We start from the raw sequence: 21,340 nt of genomic DNA on the forward strand, positions 1-21,340 counted from the left end.
TTGGTGGGTAAGAGTATCTAATGAAAGACCAGCCACTCCTACATCATGTGCCACTGCCACTTCATGATCTTAATGCATATGGCTTAAGACATATGGGTTAACAAGGCTAAGCTTGTGGCCTGCTTACAGATGGAGAATCTTGATAATTCCATGACTCTCCATTTTAGTTCACATCAGAACTATAACTCTTTATTTGCCTTAGGGCTGGAGATCAATAACATGATCCAAAATGTCTTCTATGAGCCTCACAAAGTAGTATTTCTTTTCTCTGTGCTTACACAGCATCTAAACTGTACATGTTTTAGTACAATAAAATCAAATATGTTCTAATCTGTCTCTGTCTCCCACGAGACAGCAAACCACTAGTGATGGAGGGGAAGAAGAGGCATCTCCATCGTTTTACCAACTGGTGTTCTCAGAATGCCAGGCATAACACAGGTAAGCATTACTGGTTTGCTGAACGTTTGAACTGATGAGAAGCCCCTGACAATGAATGCTGCTTTGGAGGCTTGTGAGTACTACTTGTAAAGATCGCCTACCATCTGACCAGTTATTTTTACCATTGGAACCTTAAACATCCTTGGAATTCTCAGAGCTATAGGAATAACATGGGTGTTGATCTATGTTCTTTTTAGCCCATCTAATTTAAGATTCTAAATTTTGGTTGCATGAATACTATGCAGCCAAAGGACAAGATCGTGTCCTTTGCAGCAACATGGATGGAGCTGGAGGCCATTATCCTAAGTCAACTAACATGGAAACAGAAAACAAGATACTGCATGTTCTCACTCACCAGTGGGAGCTAAACACTGAGTACATGTGGACACAAAGAAGGGAACAACACAAATATGGGACCTACTTGAGGGTAGAGAGTAGGAGGAAGCCCCTCATAGAGGCCCCTATCACAGAAAACTTCCCGTCTCCGGTGTACTAATTTGGTAGTCAGCTGGCAGTTTCACCGTTGCACATTCTGTCTTATCTGCTTTTGCAGGATTACCATGACTTGAGATACAAGAACAGGTTTATGGTCCTAGACCAAAGCCTTTCCCCTAGTGTGTGCAGCCAGCATCATTGCACACTGCAAGAGTAGCCACAGGGACCCTTTGGGGTCAGACCTGCTCACAGACTAGACAGTCTTGGAAGTATTCTTCCAGTGGGGGAGACAACAGGATTATGATTTTGCCAAACACTTCAGGTTAAAGACCAAAAGTTAACTGAGGAAGTTTTTCATGAACCTCAGGAAGAGATAAACATCCAATTCTCTGTTATTTCAAAGCAACCAATGTGTACTGTTTTTATTAAAAGCAAATTAAGCGCTTATCAATCTGTCTCCTGCTACATGACAGGTCACTTGAGAAGAGGAAACATGCCCTATGTGTCCCAACAGAGTACCTGGCCTGTACCTAATGATAATTCATAGCTTGCTGATTATAGAAATGGACAAGGAGCTTAGAGCAATGAAGTCTGCCTTGGCCATGCTAACAATATGTTTGGATCGCAGGTTCCTTAAACCTCTGTGGGTTTCCCAGAACCATGGGAATGGCATTGAACTTCTTTTTTCAGCTCAATGTATAATCCTAAATTTCAATTGCATCTAGAAAACATCTTCACCTCTTCTCATTTCCTTTATAGACATGGACTTTTCAAGTCCCAAGATACTTCAGACAGTCTAAAAACAACTTGCTTTCCGGGAACCTGAGGACTTTTCCAATAGACATTATAGGATCTATGAAATATCTTGAGTCTAGTTCAGTGATGTAAATGCTTCCTACAATTTATATAGACAATTCCAGGTGAATGAATATTTGACATGTAAAACAATGAAAGCACAGAAATTCAGTTAGAATTGGAACACGTGGGGCCGGACGCGGTGGCTCACGCCTGTAATCCCAGCACTTTGGGAGGCAGAGGCGGGCGGATCATGAGGTCAGGAGATCGAGACCATCCTGGCTAACACAGTGAAACCCCGTCTCTACTAAAAATACAAAAAACATTTGCCGGGCGTGGTGGTGGGTGCCTGTAATCCCAGCTACTCGGGAGGCTGAGGCAGGAGAATGGCGTGAACCCGGGAGGCAGAGCTTACAGTGAGCCAAGATTGCACCACTGCACTCCAGCCTGGGCGACAGAGCGAGACTCCCTCTCAAAAAAAAAAAAAAAAAAAAAAAACTGGAACACGTGGGAGTCAGCCAGAAAAGTAAATCAGAGTAGCCCAAAGATAGCCATCAAGACCCCTGAGGTGGTATGAAGATTACCAGGACTTTCAGAGCAGAGAAGTTCCTAGTAGCTGAGTATTTTCTCTGTGGACATGATTGGTGCAAGTTTGCAAACATGAGTAGTCTCAAAAGCAAACATCAGACACTCTCTGTAGAGGTCAGTGCACTTTGACCTACATCCTTTCTGGTATTGCATGGATTATTAAGGTGCACAAGGGGAAACCAAAGCATAGAAAAATAAAGTTCTAGACTCAGAGCCTCATAGAAAATAGGTATTTATTAGGAATTAGTCTCTGATCCAAAGCATTTGGACCTGAAAGGGATCCAGGGATCATTTGGAAAAGTATCTGTGAAACTTTAATGTACCAACAAATCATCTGGACATGTTAAAAGGCAAGTTCTCATTCAGGAGATCTGTAGAGGGGCCTGATATTCTGCATTTCTGGGCTTTTAGTAGTTGAGGATGCCACTGTAACAGACCATATCCTGAGTAGCAAAAATCTAGTCTAGTGGTTTTAAACCATGCACAAAAAAATCACTTTGGGATTACTTTTTTCAGAAAACTTACTGATAATACTCATGCCTGGGCTTCACTTCCAGAGATTCTGATTGATTGGGCTGGAGATTGGCTCAGGCATCTGCATTTTTAAAAGACTTCCAAGGAATTTTACAACCTTGCAGCCCAAGGTTGTAAACCACTGTTCAAGGCCAACCTTTTTCTATACCTGATGAGGAAACTCAGTGTTTAAGTGAAATCAAGTTCACTCTGCTAGTTCGTCGAACACAGAGCTGGTTCTGGAATGTTGATAGTGGTTAAGTTTTATTTCTCCAATGCTTAAGTTTCATTTCTACAAGTAGGCATCCTGCCCATTAGAAATGAGTTTCCCTCTCTAGTTTCCATTGTTTTTTTCCTATTTGTAGACACAGACACACACACACTCTCTCTCTCTCTCTCTTACACAATGTGTTGGCTGTTTCCTTATTGTTGCTCTGTCCTGTGTGGTTCATGGCTGTATTTATCCAAGGACACACTGGGCCAGATCCTGAATACCTAATCAGTTGAGCCAGAGCCTCACAGAACCAGGACTGCTGCCAAATTCAGTGACCACATGACAAACACTCACTCTGTTTCTCTGACACGCTGTTACTAGCAATAATTTTATGCATGAAAATTCCAAAGTCATACTACTCTCAGTGTAAGCAGCTCTCCTAATGTTCATTTCAGTATTTGCTTATGTTTCTATCCCTTTTAGAGTTGATTCAGGGCTAGTGCCTTACAGAAGATATTTGTATCTGAAAACACAATTGGCCTCCTAGAAGCTTCCCATCTGATACAGAACTGGAGAGAGAGAGCTGAGAGGAAATGAGTCCCATTCCAAAATCTCTTCTCCCCCTACACAGGTCCATCCTCACTAGGGAGAGGTTGAATGCCTGCTGCCCAAGAGGTACTGCTGGGCTCTATGTGTAGATATGGCCAGGGCTCCCTGACCTGAGCCTGAGATGGGAATATGTAGATTGCCCTGGCCTGAAGCTCAGAACAGGACACCCCTATCTCAGCAGCTGCACAGTCAGATATGACATGAAACACCTCTCTCTCAGTGCCCACTGGGAAAAATTGTAGTCTGGAAGGGCTCCAGCTAATGGTCAGCACAGACTGCACAGATAAGGGGACTTGTCCCACACTGTGAAAGCAACACTCACAATTACTGAATGCTGTTAAATGAGACATGCTTTCCATGCAATATCCCACTTCATCTCAACATAACCCCATGACGAAAGTCCTAGTGCTATTCCGATTCCATGGGTAAGTAAATGTGGCTTAGAAATGTGAACCAACTATCCCAAGATCACATGTCCAGTAAGCAGCAAAGTCCATTAATGACCCCAGGTAGTCTGATTCCAGGTGGCCTTCACTACTGAGCAACATCATCTTGTGCGCACAAAGACAAGTAAAGGTAAAGGGTTTTAATAGTTCTCATTATGCCCAAGCTGCAGAGCAAGAAAGGAAACCTCAGAAGAAAACATCCCATTGGCCCCAAATATAGAATAATGGTTGTTCTATGATGGGGTGCTATTGTCTTATACTCAGAGTACACAACCCCAAAATAAACAAGATGGCAAATATCTGTGCAGAACCCCCTCCATCAGGTGATTCTGTCACCTGACAGGTGTAGAAGGTTTTTTCTAATGGCCTTGGTTTGCTCAACCCCAGATGGAACAATGTTTGACTAACAATCATTCTTCCCTTTCAGCAAACTTGGTCTTCCACAGCAGGGCTACGTGGGCCTAGTTTCCTTTCCCTCATTCCCCTGAATGGTTCTAACCTCCATTTCTGTGCTGTCATTATGCTTAGAGAATTTTTCTGCCTACTTTTATTATTAGAGTATACTCAAGGAATAAAATGGGGATTCTCATTACTTAAGTAATGTTGAGATTTGGTGGGTTTATGGAAGAATACATGGATCTAAATGATATCCTGTGCTTGTAAGATGTCAAGACGGGCCAGGTGCAGTGGCTCACACCTGTAATCCCACACTTTAGGAGGCCAACACAGGTGCATCACCTGAGGTCAGGAGTTCGAAACCAGGATGGCCAACATGGTGAAACCCCATCTCTACTAAAAATACAAAAAAATAGCTGGGTATGGTGGTGCACACCTGTAGTGCCAGCTACTCTGGAGGCTGAGGCATGAGAATCACTTGAACCTGGGAGGCAGAGGTTGCAGTGAGCAGAGATAGTGCCACTGTACTCCAGCCTAGGTGATACAGCGAGACTCTATCTTAAAAAAAAAAAAAAAAAAAAAAGAAGAAGAAGTCAAGAGGTCCAGCACATTCTTCTAGGAACTTGTCTCATGCGAATGGGGAGATGTGGTCTATCTCAAGTTGCCTAAATCCTTCCTTGAATAGACGTGGAGATGGGTTTTTAATTCACATAGAGAGAGAGATTATATACTATACTCTTTCTTAAGCATATTCTTTTCCTAAGATGTCTGCTCTCATTTCAACTGTGAATGCATAAGATCTTATGTGACGTTCCTTTTCTGGGTAGTCCTTCTTGTCTATATAATTTTTGGCTTTAGAAAGGTCAGGAGCAGTAACTGGAGCAGTAACTCAGAAGTTCCCTGAAAAGAAAGAGAAGAGCTGCCCCAGACATCTGAGAGCATCATTAACACCTGTGACCATGATGGGTCAAGACAAAATACAAGGCCACTCTGTAATCAGGTCTGAGTGCAGACAAAAATACGAATATTTTCCAACTGGATTCGAAAATAATCAAGCAGCCCCTTAAACTGGCCAATATGAATGACTGCTGCTTCCTTTCAAATTACACCTGTCACCTTGGTCTAGTCTTCTCTTTTTCCAGACACAATTTAAGATACCCAATTATAGAATCATTTCTGCTTCCTGACAGCCTCCCATCCCATGCCCATGACCACACCTTACCACATGGGAGCCTGGGAAATATAGTCTAGTTACAGGCCCAGGACAAAGAAGAAATAGCACAGCGAGGCTACAGTTTCATTTGGTAATTATGAGAAGACTGTAATGAAGTTAATAACCCTACCTTGAAATGCTCACTCAGAGGGAAATCGCTCTCAGTCTTTGCCCTTTTGCTTATCTTGGTGCACTACCCCTACAAAACCAAGATCCAGAAACGTACAGGATGACATTGTAACAATTCACAAGAGGAATTCAGAATAGCAGCTTTCCAAATTTTCCTTTTTCTCTGCTAATTGTGTGGGCAATTACATCAGCCTTGGGATCATATAAATTTTTCATTAAACATGTGAACATTGTTTGATTGACTCTCTGATGGTTGTTGCTTTGTAACAGATAATCTTCAAAATAGTAGAAACAGAAGAAACATAAGGACAACTCAGAAGAACTATGTGAATTTGGATTTAGATTTTTAACCCCCATGACCCCATCACATTCTCTGACTACATTGCATATGTTTCTCTACTGACCAGCTCAAACATTGTTGTTTGAACCACTAATGGTGAACAGTAAAGATCATCAAAACAGTCAATATGCTTGAATAGGCTCCACTATAGCCAGGGTTGGCAGTAATGCAAATGCTGCTGGAGGATGTAACCAGTATGGGACCCTTCTTATAGACCAATATCTCAAAATTGAGGAGTTGTTTTGCCTAACACAGCCCCACAGAAGAAGACCTAACCATCTGCAACCTCATTCTTCCACAAATTGACAATGACTTTCTACAGTATTCTTTTAGGCACAAACCACTGACCCTGGTCTAAGGAGCTTCCATTGTAGACGTCCCTGGAACCACCTGGCGGGATACATGTGATAGTAACAAGTTTGACAACAGAGTCTGACATGATTCACAAAAATATACGTTCCTGTCTGCCACTGGTTTTTCCACAACACTGAATGTCATCATAAAGTCCAGTTACCCTCTATCTCCTACACCACATTGACTCCAGCAAGGGAATTTGCGTATCAAAACTGCTTCTCACACACCCATCCTCTTAGCTGCCAAAACTCAGCATGTATTTGTAATCAAAGCAGAGACAGCCCTATTCCTCTGTATCATTTTCACCCTGCCAATTCACTAGGCATCAAGGGTGTAAAAAACTGCCTGGATATACCTCCCATATATAAGCACCATGCTTATCTGAGAAGCCCTAGAACTCTGTGGATGAACCTTGAAGGAGCCTCCAAGCCTGAACCAAAGCACTACAGATCACCTGCTATCTTCATAGCACCATGAGGTAAAGTCTTTCTCTGCTTCACTGACCTTATTTCTGCACACTTTGAAATTCTAAAACTTTCCTTAAGGGCCAATTTTTTGACAGGCCTTCTCCTAAGGGAGCTGTCCCACTGGTGGTTCTGACCCTGATAGGCACCCTCAACATGATAACCAAGAAGAGTTTAATAAGGGGGCTATTTAAGACGATATGGGCAAAGTTTAGGGAAATCAACAGGAAATGGTGCTTGTTGGTTGCAGGGCAGCGGGAAGAGGCGTGTTGGTTTACAACAGTGGTAACATGATAACCCTGGGCCTACAGGAGCAAGAGGAGAGAACCAGACCCAAGGAGACTCTAAGCTATAGCTGTAGGGGAGGGGCTTCTCAAGAGGCCTTTGGTGAAAAAATCACTGACAACCTCAAGCAGAGCACAGTGGGAGCTTAGGAATTAATTCCATGACCTTCACCTCCTCCTGCAATTTAATATCTGGCTGGTGCTCCCCAGTGGGCCAACCCCAGTAGAAAGTAAAAAATAAAAGAGTTTTGGAGTTAATAAAGTCCATAGAGTCAGCTTCCAAGCACAGAGCATGGTGAAGAATGTAGGAAAGTAGATTCAGAGGGGCAAGATGAGAATATATGTAGAGGCAAGTTTCCTAACTCCTGTTACAGAGCTCGCTTAGTAAGGGTAGCTGGCTTAATAAAAGCAGCAATGCTCTTAAGGAAATAAACGAGAAAGCAATCTTATTTCCAAAGATGTCATTTCTGTAGCACTTTCTAATAGAGGGACAATTACCCAGGCAACACTTAAAGACTGTTCACCAGGGAACAGAGGCCTGAGCCTAGAGAGGAGACTGGCCCGGGGACCAGTCAGGGCAAGAGCATTGAGATCCTTTTAATATACAAAATACTCTTTTAGGCATCCAGGTGAGAAGAAGCAGCTATTTTTATTTGATAAATTGGTTAAATTCACGTGGGAAAAAGAAGCTACTTTCAGAGATGGCTGTTTTTCTGTTGTTTGTTTGTTTTTGATACCAAGTCAAATTTTGTGATTACTGTGAAACTATGAAATTGTGATTACTATGAAATTTGCTTTTCACTGAATTAACTGTTCTCAAAGTGTGGTCCCCTGACTAGCAACATCAGCATCACTTGGGAAGGTAGCAGAAATGCAAATTCTCAGGCCCTACCCTAAACCTGCTGACTCAGAAACTCTAGGGTGGGGCCCATCAATCTGTGTGTTATAAGTTTTCCAGGTGATCATGTTGCCTGCTAAAATTTGAAAAACCATTATACTAGATGTTAGAAAATAAGAAATTTTGTAGGCATTGTGATATGTTTGTTCCACAAAATATATATTTCTTTTTTTCCTGGTGTAGTTAGAACTGGTGACCTGCAGAAAATGCTTTCACTCAAAAGTATTCTGACCTGCTAGAGTTCTCCCATCTGATGTTGCAGTCAGTGGGAGAGGAAGAACTTTACAGAAAAAGGGGCTGCTCTTTTGAGATCCCTTTCTAGCAAACATGTAGACCTGTCTTGAGAAGAAATTATAAATGAAGGATTGCAAAAAAATTCACCACAAGAGTACCCAAGTCTCTCTTTTTAATATAACGGGCTCCTGGTCATAAGATGTTAGTTGTGGCTGGGCATGGTGGCTCACACCTGTAATCCCAGCACTTTGGGAGGCCGAGATGGGCAGATCACGAGGTCAGGAGATCAAGACCATCCTGACTAACAAGGTGAAACCCCGCCTCTTCTAAAAAATACAAAAAATTAGCCGGGAGTGGTGGCGGGCGCCTGTAGTCCCAGCTACTCAGGAGGCTGAGGCAGGAGAATGGCGTGAACCTGGGAGGCGGAGCTTGAAGTGAGCCGAGATTGCACCACTGCACTCCAGCCTGGGCAACAGAGTGAGACTCCGTCTCAAAAAAAAAAAAAAACAAAAGGTATTAGTTGTGTCTGCATCTGTGGAGTTGACAGAAAGCAAGCCTTTCATTCCCTGCTGCCTTGGTAGCTAGTCTATGTGAGAGGTTTTGCAATGGCCTGGGCGTATGTTTCTAGAAGCCACTGACCTGAGGTGGCCTAAGGGGAATCTGGACTATCCCAGACTGAATAATGCCCACATCAAAATCCTCCTGATCCCACTGGTTCAGGGACAGAGGAGCAGATTGAGCTCCTCCTTCCATTCATGCTTATTGATCAAGACAGCTTAAGTGGAGCTTAAGTGGACAAGATCCAGGGAAATGCCTCACAAAACATGGTGACGAGTCCCTGTCTGCCACAGGCATACAGGGATTAGGTCACTACATACATGCACAAACTCATCTTTTTTTTTTTTTTTTTCCAGACAGGGCCTCCCTCTGTCACCCAGTCTGGAGTGCAGTGGCATGATCACAGCTCACTGCAGCCTCCACCTGCCCGGGCTCAGGTGATCCTCCCACGTCAGCCCAAGTCGCTGGGACTACTGGTGTGCATCGCCAGGCCCGGCTAATTTTTGTATTTTTTGAGAGACATGGTTTCGCTATGTTGCCCATGCTGGTCGTGAACTCCTGGGCTCAAGCAATTCACCTGCCTTGGACTCTCAAAGTGTTGGGATTACAGGCATTAGCCACCACGCTGGGGCCTAATTTGATGATAATATGTATACTACTAATAACAGCACTTTCTGTATGCTCACCAGATAAAAGGAGGACTTTAGGCTCTCAGCATTTCCATTTTAGAGAGTGAGGACACCTCTAGGGTGATATTCTACTCCTTAGTCTTCCCAGGGCCCAAGTCAAGAAGATACATGTTGATGAACAACCACCTATAAGAAAGAGCAATAATTCTCTTCTGGAACTTGGCAGGGCAGCCTTGTAAGATTGTGTAAATTGTGCACTTGAAATTCTACAATCTCAGTGAAAGCCAAAATCTAGTATACTTTTTTCCACCTATCAATGCATGGCCATGATTAGATCACTCAGAGGAAGACTGATCTCTTTCTACTGCTCACAAATGTGCTGGGTGGGCTAGCAGCTGAGATGCTGAGATTGGGTACATATTTAGAAAGCTTGGAATGGCTTATCTTCAAATATTCCAGCAGCTCTAGAGTAATGGAAGTCTGTGTGGATTATTTTCCCTGGGTAGTGTCTGTTCTCATCATAGCACAAGCTCCACGGGGCATGAGTGGACGATTTGGGTCAAAAACTCTTCCCGATTCCATCTTCTGTAGGGGTGGTGACTATTTTCAGTGAGCATTCTTCAGCACAATATTAATTTTACTTACTCCTGACCCCACCTCACCCAGCATATGTCCCACACACACCCCCACACACAGGTTTCATTGGGTAATCTTCCTGGGCCACAGCTGGAAGGAAGATTTCTGGGACTCCTCATCTCAGCAGTCAACTATACAGTCCTATCCTAAAGCAATATGCCAGGACTCTCATATTCCACAGACTCAAGGATGGAGAAGATGGCTTGGGATTGTGGGCAGGAATGCACTCAAGGAGGGTCTAAGCATAGTAGGGAGTTTTTTAGATGGAGACTCTGAGGGAAAAGTGAGGGCTGTGTTGAGCTGCCAGCTGTGCTCAAAGCAGCAGTCATAAGCCTGAGTATCCTCTGCCCAACTTTGTGGTGCTATTCATTATCTTGTGAATCCTTTCCTTTCTTCCTTTCTTTCCTTTCCTTTATTTTCTTTATTATTAATTTTTTTGAGACAGAGTCTGGCTCTGTTGCCCAGCCTGGAGTGCAGTGGCATGATCTCGGTTCATGGCAACCTCCACTTTCCAGACTCAAGTGATTCTTGTGCCTCAGCCTCCAGAGTAGCTGGGACAACGCTGGCTAATTTTTTGTATTTTTAGTAGAGATGGGGTTTCACCATGTTGCCCAGGCTAGTTTTGAACTCCTGAGCTCAGGCAATCTGCCTACCTCGGCCTCCCAAAATGCTAGGATTACAGGTGTGAGCCACCACACCTGGCCGTGAACTTTTTCTTTCCCTTTATTTTCAAAAAAGAATGTTTCATCATCCATTTTTTGTGATTAGATTATGGTTATATTATATTATATTATGGTTATATTGAGTCAGGATTTATATAAAAATTGTTTTTGCTATACATTGCCATATAGAGAGTAAGAGAAAATTTCATAATGGTCCTCTCTGAAATCATTCCTTGGGCCTAACGGATAGAAAACATGTCAAGTATAGACTGTAAAGTAATTAGTTTAGAACACAGAGGTAAATATACTTACATAGGATGTGAGGACCACTTTTTCAACTATTAAGGACAAATTTCTTTTTCTTCCTTCATGTTCTTATAGGGAGACTAGGACTTCAGTTCCACTTCAGAGGAGCGTGAACTATTGGGGAAAAAAACCCTTCTGGTCCCACTGACTTCATATTATTCTCTCTTCCTCATGAGTGGCTGAGAGATTACTACAATTGTTGAGATTTTATAGCCTGTCCTCCACTAGGCTTCAGGGTTACTTGATGTCAGGAGCACTGACTTACAAAAGTGGGACTTGCCACTTCTTCAAAGAGACACATCTTACCTATGTAATGTTCATTCATGCCTCTTCTTCTGTCCCCATCAGTAAGGCTGCCCTTGTGAGGTGGTTCCACCCACTTGGAACCCCTCCATTTAGGATTGGTTGAGTAAGTGCACACAGGCAAAGGAGTTAGAAACCCTACCACATTCTCCAACCTGGCTTGAGCATTCATGAAGTCCTGCATTTGAAACCATATTTGGCTCTCATATTTTACTCAGAACCCTTCATGGGAGGAGAGAAAACCAAAATGTGTTTACGTGTTGAGAACATGAAAAAGATGAGTAAGGAACCCACCTTTCTGTGAACCCTCTCTCCACATTTCTTCTGACTGCATTAGTCATGGACTGCAAAGTCAGGAGGAAGCAGAAAGAAGACAGGTTTTGCAGTGTTGAGGGTGGTGCTGAGATTATTTTGATGTTAGCAGAATTAACCTCTTTTGAATTGACTTTTAGACTTCATGTAACCTATCTGTTGGCACTACAAGATGATTAGCATTTCCCCTTGGTTTTTATGTCAACCTGTTCTCTTTCCTAATGACATGACTGTAGAACCCAGAGGGGCACCAGATAATGGAGGCAGGGAAATTAGGATAGAGCATATTTGACTATTTGAAGTGCTGGCTTCATTTTCAGTGGACTGAATACTTTCTCAAAATGTAATTAATTGCTGCCTATTTTTACAGTGAAGAATCTGATGGAAAGCTTATTGAAGACAGCCTGATTCAGCTGAGATGTCACTTTACATGGAAGTTGTTAATTGAAGCCCCTGAAATTCCTGATTTAGAAAACAGGATCTGGGAAGAGATTCAGTTCCTGGACACCAAATACAATGTGGGAATACACAACCTACTAGCCTATGTGAAACACCTGAAAGGCCAGAATGAGGAAGCCCTGGTCAGCTTGAAAAAGGCTGAAGACTTAATTCAGAAAGAACATGCCAACCAAGCAGATATTAGAAGTCTGGTGACCTGGGGCAACTTTGCCTGGGTGTATTACCACATGGGCAGATTGGCAGAAGCCCAGACTTACCTGGACAAGGTGGAGAACACTTGCAAGAAGTTTGCAAATCCTTCCCGCTATAGAATGGAGTGTCCAGAGGTGGACTGTGAGGAAGGATGGGCCTTGGCGAAGTGTGGTGGAAAGAATTATGAACGGGCCAAGACCTGCTTTGAAAAGGCTCTGGAAGGGAACCCTGAAAACCCTGAATTCAATACTGGGTACGCAATCACCGTCTATCGCCTGGATAAATTTAACACAGCATCAGGGAGGAATAAGGCATTTTCTCTGCACGTCCTAAAACGAGCTGTCAGGCTAAATCCAGATGATGTATATATTAGGGTTCTCCTTGCCCTGAAGCTTCAGGATGAAGGACAGGAAGCTGAAGGAGAAAAGTACATTGAAGAAGCTCTGACCAGTATATCTTCACAGGCCTATGTCTTTCAATATGCAGCCAAGTTTTATCGAAGAAAAGGGTCTGTGGATAAAGCTCTTGAGCTCTTAAAAATGGCCTTGGAGACAACACCCACTTCTGCCTTCCTGCATCACCAAATGGGGCTTTGCTACAGGGCACAAATGATCCAAATCAAGGAAGCTACAAACTGGCAGCCTAGAGGGCAAGATAGGGAAACTGTGGACAGATTGGTTCAATTGGCTATATGCAAATTTGAAAAGACTATAATGTTAAAGCGAACATTTGAGATGGCCTATGTTGACCTGGCTGAAACGTATGCAGAAATAGGCCACCACAGAAAGGCTGAGGAACATTTTCAGAAAGGGTTACGCATGAAGATCTTTGAAGATCAGCTAAAGCAAGAGATTCATTACCACTACGGCCGTTTCCAAGAACATCATGGGAAATCTCAAGATAAAGCAATTACCCATTATTTAAAAGGTTTGAAAATAGAAAAAATGTCCCATTCCAGGGAAAAACTTCTCAATGCTTTAGAGAAATTGGCTAAAAGATGTATTCACCAGAATGTACGGGTTGTGGAAAGTGTCAGCCTCCTTGGGCTTATCCACAAATTGAAAGGAGAAGTAAGTGATGCTTTGCTGTGCTATGAGAGGGCTCTGAGGCTGGCTGCTGACCTGAACCCTATATTTTAACATAGAGGTCACCATTATCCATTTAATGGTCTTATAACTAAATAGAATGACTATGAAATTAAATAATGCAAACTTAAAGCTGTTGGAAATTTACCTTATTTTGAGCCTTGAGAGGAATGTGGCTGTGTGGCCTGAGTTATGTAGCATGCAACTGCAACTTCTGCTTTTTCCTGTAAATGATCAGGAAAGGCCTTGTGGCACCAGACATAAGACCCCCTGAAAGTATCATCCCTCCTGATGGAATGGTAAAGCAATCTTTCTTGGAACATAGCAAGTAGTAACCGATCAAATTGCTATAACGTGTGTACTGACCTTATGTGGAAAATGCTGCAACCCTGTTTACTGCCTATGTAAGTGAAATCTTAACTTCCCCATTTTGGAATGCTGACTCCAGTCATTAGGTGTCTGTATTTCCTGAGTGGTTACCCTCAAGCTTTGTGCTCAAATAAACTCTATACTTAATCATAGTTTCTGAATTCCATTATTTGAGATTGAGACAACAGTCTTTCCCAATTGCTGCCTTCAAAAATGTATAGTCTGATGAAATACAAAATACTTCGGTATAACACATACTCTATTGCCTGGCCACCCCCCTCATTTTTTCCTCTTCAATCCATGTGTCTGCGGCAGGAGCATCTATTCTTCCACAACACATCCCTGCATTCATTGACCAAGGCTTATTAATGCTGTTTTAGGCACCTACATCTGCTGGGACAATAAGAATCATTTTCCTTAAAATTTTGCCTTTGGAATGAGCAGTTTTCATCCTCAGTCTCCCAAACAAAGGAGACCTAAACAGGGAAGGTTTCTGTTCCATGTGGCCAGGGTCACTGACCTGCAACAAAACCTAAGAGTAAAATAAATGAGCAAAGACAAGAGTTAGAAAGGAGGGAATTTCAGGAGTTCTACAGCATTCTAGCTGGAGTTCTATTTCCCAAGGCCCTACTGTAGCTGGGACCTGCTGGTCAGTGAGCCAAGCCTTATAATAAATTCAAATTTTTGTTTACATGTGTCCAGCTGCTGGCAATCACAAGGGATCTACGTGACCCAAACACACTGCTGGACATTTATTCACACCTGAGATCACACCTAAAATCACACATCTAAGATTACACCTAAGAGCTTTGCTAAGATCACAAATTCTTGGAGTGTATTTTATTAGTGATATTCAAAAACAAGTGTATTTTGTGTTTTATTTCAAATAGAAAAATGTAGAACCAACTTACACAGCATTAGAAGGCCTGAAGCAGAGGAAGTGATGGAATAGAAACCTGACCAAGAATTTTTATAATTTTTATTTATTTATTAGAGGCAGGGTCTTGTGATGTTGCTCAGGCTGGAGTTCAGTGGCTATTTACAAGCACAGTCATAGCACGCTGCAGCCTTAAACTCCTGGCCTCAAGAGATCTTCCCTCCTCAGCCACCTGAGTAGCCAAAACCATAAGTGCATGCCACCATGTACCACTTCCTACCAAGAATTTTTCAAAAAACTAGGGAGGCATTTACTACTACAGGCCATGGAATTTTAAGATTGACTTATGTTACTTGGATCCTTGAAAGCGGGGAGTGACCAATGATGGAGATTTGGGAGAGTGGGGAGGCAGGGGAGTGGAGTCATTTAGATGACACCTGGAAAGCACAGGAGTAACACCTTTTTCAACTTTGTTGATAGTAAACAAAGAACGTACTTATTCAATTTAACCAGAGGAAACTACTATTGACTTTTCCCTGTAAACAAGGTGTGATTCAGGCTCACCTGGCCTCTGAATTCCTTACTTGTAACTGCCACAGAGCTTCTTGTAGGGGAGATTTGCCTCCATTCATGGAATTAATCTAAATGAGACATCTGAGGACATATCTCTACTAATTAGAAAACACAGAGACAATGTTCTTCTAACTGGACAACTCTAAGCTTTTGGTTTGGCTCAGTTCTGTAATTGTTAGTAAACTGACAACTATTTGCTCCTTAGCTACTGGTTACTCTTGGCAAAAAGAAGTAACAAGAGATTTACAGTCCTCTTGGCTGAATTCATCACAAATAAAATAAAATTACTCAGCTAGTTAGTAAGTTGTCAGGAAATTAGGTTTTATTGAATCAAATTCATTCATTAATTAATATTGAAACCTTCCCACCACTCCAGGTACTGGAACCAAAACCTTTTGCAACTGCATCTACTTAATAGAGTTTATGAGTCTGTGGGTATATGAGTGTGTGTGTGTGTGTGTGTGTGTGTGAGAGAGAGAGAGAGTGTGTGTGTGTTTGGATAAGCACCAAGTAAGTCTTAAAACTATTTTAGGCTGGGCGCCGTGGCTCACGCCTGTAATCCCAGCACTTTGGGAGGCCGAGGTGGGCAGATCATGGGGTCAGGAGATCGAGACCATCCTGGCTAACACAGTGAAACCCCGCCTCTACTAAAAATACAAAAAATTAGCCGGGCGTGGTGGCGGGCGCCTATAGTCCCAGCTACTCGGGAGGCTGAGGCAGGACAATGGCGTGAACCCAGGAGGTGGAGCTTGCAGTGAGCCGAGAGATCCCGCCACTGTACTCCAGTCTGGGTGACAGAGCAAGACTCCGTCTCAAAAAAAAAAAAAAAAAAATCTATTTTAACAACATCAATTCACCATACCCTGGGAACATAAGAGGGAATCAATAAACAATTATGGATTCATTGGCTGAATATCATCTAAAGTGCTGCTTTTATCAGTGGCTTCTACATGCAATATGGGCCAGCGAAGAAGAGAGAAAAAATTGGAGGGTATATAAAACTTATCTACCTGCTTGTATTAAAATGAAAACAGTGGATGGATAAATGAAATTTTGTAATGGTTACCAATAAGAAAGAGAGGAAAAGGAAAGGGACAGCAATAGGAGCCAGACTTCTCTGTGTTTGTTTTTGCAACCATGTCAATATTTTGCCTAATTATAAAACCAAATTTATATTTAGAAAAGCAATCCACATATGTAAGCTAAATGTTTTATCAATTAATTGTACTGAAGGCCCTTTTATGCAAAAGAAAATATAAAATAAATGGATGGGTGGATAGAGAAATGAGTGGATGAATAGATATGTAATAAGGTAAATATAGTAAAATGTTAACTGTAGAATCTAGTTATACAAGTGTTCATTGTAAAATACTCTCAACTTTTCTCTCTGCTTGACCATGTATAATAATAAAATGTTTGGATAAAAAGGGCAAATAGCAGTATCTAAAAAGTACAGCAAACTGAGACAAATTATCCAAAATATGTAGGGAATGGTGGATAAAATCACATAGGAAGGAAGGATTCCAAGTGATTTTTAAGTGCGCTGTAATTTGACTCTACATTTTTAATAGGATATAGCTTATAAACAAAACTAACATGGAAAAAAATTCTTTTTTTTTTGAGACAGTGTCTCGCTCTGTCACCCAGGCTGGAGTGCAGTGGCATGATCTCAGCTCACTGCAATCTCCGCCTCCTGGGTTCAAGTGATTCTCCTGCCTCCGCCTCCTGAGTAGCTGGGATTACAGGTGGGTGCCACCACACCCAGCTAATTTTTGTATTTTCAGTAGAGACAGGGTTTTGCCATGTTGGCCAGCATGGTCTCGAACCCCTGACCTCAGGTGATCCGCCCATCTTGGCCTCCCACAGTGCTGGGATTACAGGTGTGAATCACCGCGCCTGGCCGAAAAAAATTCTTAAACTCTACTTAGCACCATTCTGGAGGTGTTTTGTTAATTTTGTTATTCAGAGACGGTTGTTGGTGTATTATATAATAGATCACATGAATAATTAAACTGGCATCACTTAGAAAAGGAATGTTTAGTTTGGGAGGAAAAATATGTACGTAAGATTTTTTATGTTAAGTAAAAAAATCCAGTGTACCTGGGTTTGTAAGATTCATGTCATATTTTATCTTCAAAATATATACACAGTATCCATGTCATCTTCCTGGTTTTAATATTGTACTACAGCTATATAAGATGTCACTATTTGGGGAATTTGGATGAAAAGTACACAGGATCTTTTCTGAAATTTCTTGTGTCTATAGTTGTTTCAAAATATGCCTGAAATGTAAAAAAAAAAAAAAAATGAGCTAATAAAAATTCTAGTAGTACTTGAATAGGTTGCAGTAAACCAAACTGTGGGTCAAGGTGGGCTGAGTGATATCATGGGCTGAGAGGTCTCTTGAAGTTTCATGAGAAGATATGTAAATCATCAAATCATTTGCAACGAAGAATTTCTGGAGTCCAAGTCCTCTCTCCATGGATGCGACTGGAAGTAGTTTAGGAAAAATCTCAGAAGCCAAGAAAATAGTTTTCATACAGTGGTCAGAACACTGAGAATTACATTCCTCAGAAAATAGGCTATAGCTAAAAATATCTTTGTGATTGAATACATTCAAAAGAGTATATAACATGTAATTAGCAGAGATATTCCAATTGTTAAATGTTAAATTATAAATTAAAAAGAGAAATATCTAGAAACCTGACTTTTATAATTAAATGAAAAACGTGAGGAAAATCAAAGATGCAGGAACATGGAAATGGATTGATCGATTCAGTCAAGCCTTTGGTTTTTATGATTCTAGCATGAAAGCATCTTGTGTGTCTTTCATGTCACTACAATGCCTTCATTTAACTATGATTACCAAAAAACAAGTACAGTAGCAACTTCTGCAGTACAAACTGATGGAAAGGACTGCTGAGGAGACAGAGAAGCCCAAGGAAGTAGTACCACCTAGGGGCTGAATTTGTTTCTAACAAGAAATCAGCTTTTCATTAGGTAACCAGATCACTAGATCCTATTCTACCTGGCCATTAGCAAGCTGATAAGAGATTTTAGACTACAAGAGATGACCCTGGAAAAGACAGGGGAAATTTCTATGGAGCCCATTCCTTAATAAGTTGTGATTGGATATTTGAGACCCTTCAGCAGAAATGGCTTAGCATTTGTCCATATTATCATATTATAATTTTTAAAAAATACACTCAGAATAACATTCTTTTTCCATATCATCCTGTGAATGAAGAAGAGACTAAGGAATTCATTACCCATTGTGTAGGTGAGGAAACAAGGCATTGAGTCGTAAAATACTGAATCTGGGCCTCACAGAACAGGAAGTGGGTCCAGGGATTGAGTCCCATATCTCTCAGTCAGAGAATTTCAGACATACAATAGACATTAGGGATAATTGAGGCCCTGGTTCCCGGCTCAGGGCGCAGGTCTACATCAAAATCACCTGAAGATTTCTTTCTTTTTTTTTTTTTTTTTTTTTTTGAGATGGAGTTTCACTCTTGTTGCCCAGGCTGGAGTGCAATGAAATGGCACGATCTCGGCTCACCACAACCTCCACCTCCCGGGTTCAAGCGATTCTCCTGCCTCAGCCTCCCGAGTAGCTGGGATTACAGGCATGTGCCACCACGCCCGGCTAATTATGTATTTTTAGTAGAGACGGGGTTTCTCCATGTTAGTCAGGCTGGTCTCGAACTCCCAACCTCAGGTGATCCGCCCGTCTTGTCCTCCCAAAATGCTGGGATTACAGGCGTGAGCCACTGTGCCCAGGCTGAAGATTTCTTTTTAATACTGAGCCAGAGGCCTGTACCTAAGTATATGTTCAATTGTTCTGGAATGGGCATAGTTAGCATTATTTTTGAGATTTACCTGGCTGATTCTAATGTGCAGTGAGGGTTGAGATCTGCCAACCTATTCCAAATGACTTCTCAGCTGAGGAAATTGAGATTCATAGAGGTGAAGCAGTTTATCATAACTGGTCAGTCCCTTGCAGAGCCCAGCTTAGACTCCTGGGAATGAACTCACAACCTAGTGCTGAAATTTCATTTTCTAAATGTTTGATCCTCTCTGGTTCCCATTTTCTTTTTTATCTGTAAACACACACACACACGCGCGCGATTGGCTTTTCTTTCCTTAATGCTGTTCTATCCTGTGTCCCTCATGGGTTTGTTTAGCCCAAAGAGACACTAAGCAAGATTCTGAATACCTAATCAGCCTGGGCCATAGCCCCGTAGAACCAAGACTGCTGCCAAATTCACAGCAATGGCAAGATAAACTTTTTGTTCATATCTCTGCATGCTATCTAGTGCATTGGCAAATTGAAAACCCATTTTTTCCCATAAGAATTCCAAAGACATCTTGCTCCCCAAAAGATGTTTTCTAATTCATCTGTTTCAGCATTTGCTTATGGCCTGATCATGTATCTGAGTGCAAGACAAAACCTGTCCTATTAATTCAGAAATTCTTATTTGTGTAGAACTTTCTAACTAGTTGTTGAACTCTCTGTGGAAGCTTACAGAATTGGTGAGAGCTGACATGGGAGATGAGTCTGGCAGGGAGTTGAGCAGAAACTGTTTAGATCTGGCAGTGTGCCCAGTTAAGTGTTTCCAAAAGGAAAATACTCTTGCACCTGCTCCTCTTCTGCTTCTTATGTTAAAAGACAAAGTAGGTAGGTTTTTTTAAAGGAAACATTGTTTTTATATATTGTTATGATTATTTGAGACAGGGGCTCACTCTGTTGCCCAGGCTGGAGTGCAGTGGTGTGACCATGGCTCACTGCAGCCTCTACCTCCTGGGCTCAAGTGAGCCTCCCACCTCAGCCTCCTGAGTAGCTGAGACCACAGACACACACCACCACACCCAGCTTTTTTTTTCAGTTTTTTTGTAGAGTTGGGGTCTCCCTATGTTGTCCAGGCTGGTCTACAATTCCTGGGCTCAAGTGATCCTCCCGCCTTGCCTTCCAAAATACTGGGACTTACAGGCCTGAGCCAATGCACCCGGACAACAATTTTTTATTTTTTATTTATTTATTTTTTTAGACGGAGTCTCGCTCTGTCACCAGACTGGAGTACAGTGGTGTGATCTCGGCTCACTGCAACCTCTGCCTCCCAGGTTCAAGCAATTCCCCTGCCTCAGCCTCTCGAGTAGGTGGGACTACAGGTGCACACCACCACACCCAGCTAATTTTTTGTATTTTAGTAGAGAGGGGGTTTCACCATGTTGGCCACGATGGTCTCCATCTCCTGACCTTGTCATCCGCCCACCTTGGCCTCCCAAAGTGCTGGGACTACAGGCATGAGCCACCGCACCCAGCCAAGAATCATTATTTTTAACTTGATGACTGAAAATAATAATAATAATAGTTACCACTTATTTGCATGCTTCTATGTGCCAGGTAGTTGCTAACTATTTAAACTCAAATTCCATGAACTGTAGTGGAGGTTGTACTGGAATTTGATTCAGAATGACAGTGTCCATGATGGAGCAATAGAGGGCTCTCTATTTCAAACCATACCTCCTTGCTTTTACCTCCTGCCTAAGTCATCAGGGGTTAGAAGGCTTTCTAGGTATTGGTCTCTTTCCTTCATTCCTAAACCAGATTGGTTGCTTATTTCCGTCAAGCTGAAACCAAAAGTAAGCAACCAAAAAGCAACCAGCAACCAAAAGCCTTGTTACTCAATTAATTAAGAGTAGATTTTTATATTTGATAGTAGGTTCCTTCTAAATATAGAAACTGAAAATAGAGCTATCTCCTTCAATTCTCCTTTTTCTGTGTATTCATCCAGAATCCAGCCACCAACTGCCACAATAGGCAGCAATGGACTGATGTTCTTTAGGGAGGACGTGAATCTCGTTCCAAATGCTGGCCAGTCATTGGGTTTCTGCAGCACTAGAAACATCTATGGTTGCAGGTCTGCAGTTTATCTGTTTTAAAATAGAAACAAAGTTTCATTCCCCACCCCCCCCCGTCAGCAGGAATTCCGCTAGCTTTAGTTTCACTTTCCCCTTTCGGTTTCCCT

The 21,340-nt window shown here is 42.0% G+C and overlaps 2 protein-coding genes across 9 annotated transcripts in view, besides 3 other annotated features; one reads left to right on the plus strand and one right to left on the minus strand.

Annotated features, from left to right (window-relative positions):
• LIPA (lipase A, lysosomal acid type) overlaps nt 1-21,340 on the minus strand; it is a 201,108-nt gene that overhangs the window by 157,621 nt on the left and 22,147 nt on the right. The window lies entirely within an intron of this gene.
• IFIT1B (interferon induced protein with tetratricopeptide repeats 1B) lies at nt 6,864-14,013 on the plus strand. Its single transcript, NM_001010987.2, has 2 exons — nt 6,864-6,948; nt 12,127-14,013. Exons 1-2 carry the CDS (start codon nt 6,944-6,946, stop codon nt 13,544-13,546), a joined length of 1,425 nt encoding a protein of 474 aa, NP_001010987.1. The 5' UTR covers nt 6,864-6,943; the 3' UTR covers nt 13,547-14,013.
• Nucleotides 20,266-20,427: a silencer, noted in NCBI's record as "fragment chr10:91151215-91151376 (GRCh37/hg19 assembly coordinates)". NCBI's record gives its function as "represses an EF-1alpha promoter that drives an FKBP-Casp9 reporter gene in an ReSE screen in K562 erythroleukemia cells {active_cell/tissue: K562}" and the evidence as "EXISTENCE:reporter gene assay evidence [ECO:0000049][PMID:32094911]".
• Nucleotides 20,980-21,029: an enhancer, noted in NCBI's record as "active region_3747". NCBI's record gives its function as "activates an Ori minimal core promoter by ATAC-STARR-seq in GM12878 lymphoblastoid cells {active_cell/tissue: GM12878}" and the evidence as "EXISTENCE:reporter gene assay evidence [ECO:0000049][PMID:35858748]".
• Nucleotides 21,260-21,309: an enhancer, noted in NCBI's record as "active region_3748". NCBI's record gives its function as "activates an Ori minimal core promoter by ATAC-STARR-seq in GM12878 lymphoblastoid cells {active_cell/tissue: GM12878}" and the evidence as "EXISTENCE:reporter gene assay evidence [ECO:0000049][PMID:35858748]".

This window comes from Homo sapiens, chromosome 10, assembly GCF_000001405.40.
Source record: "Homo sapiens chromosome 10, GRCh38.p14 Primary Assembly".
NCBI classification, from domain to species: domain Eukaryota; kingdom Metazoa; phylum Chordata; class Mammalia; order Primates; family Hominidae; genus Homo; species Homo sapiens.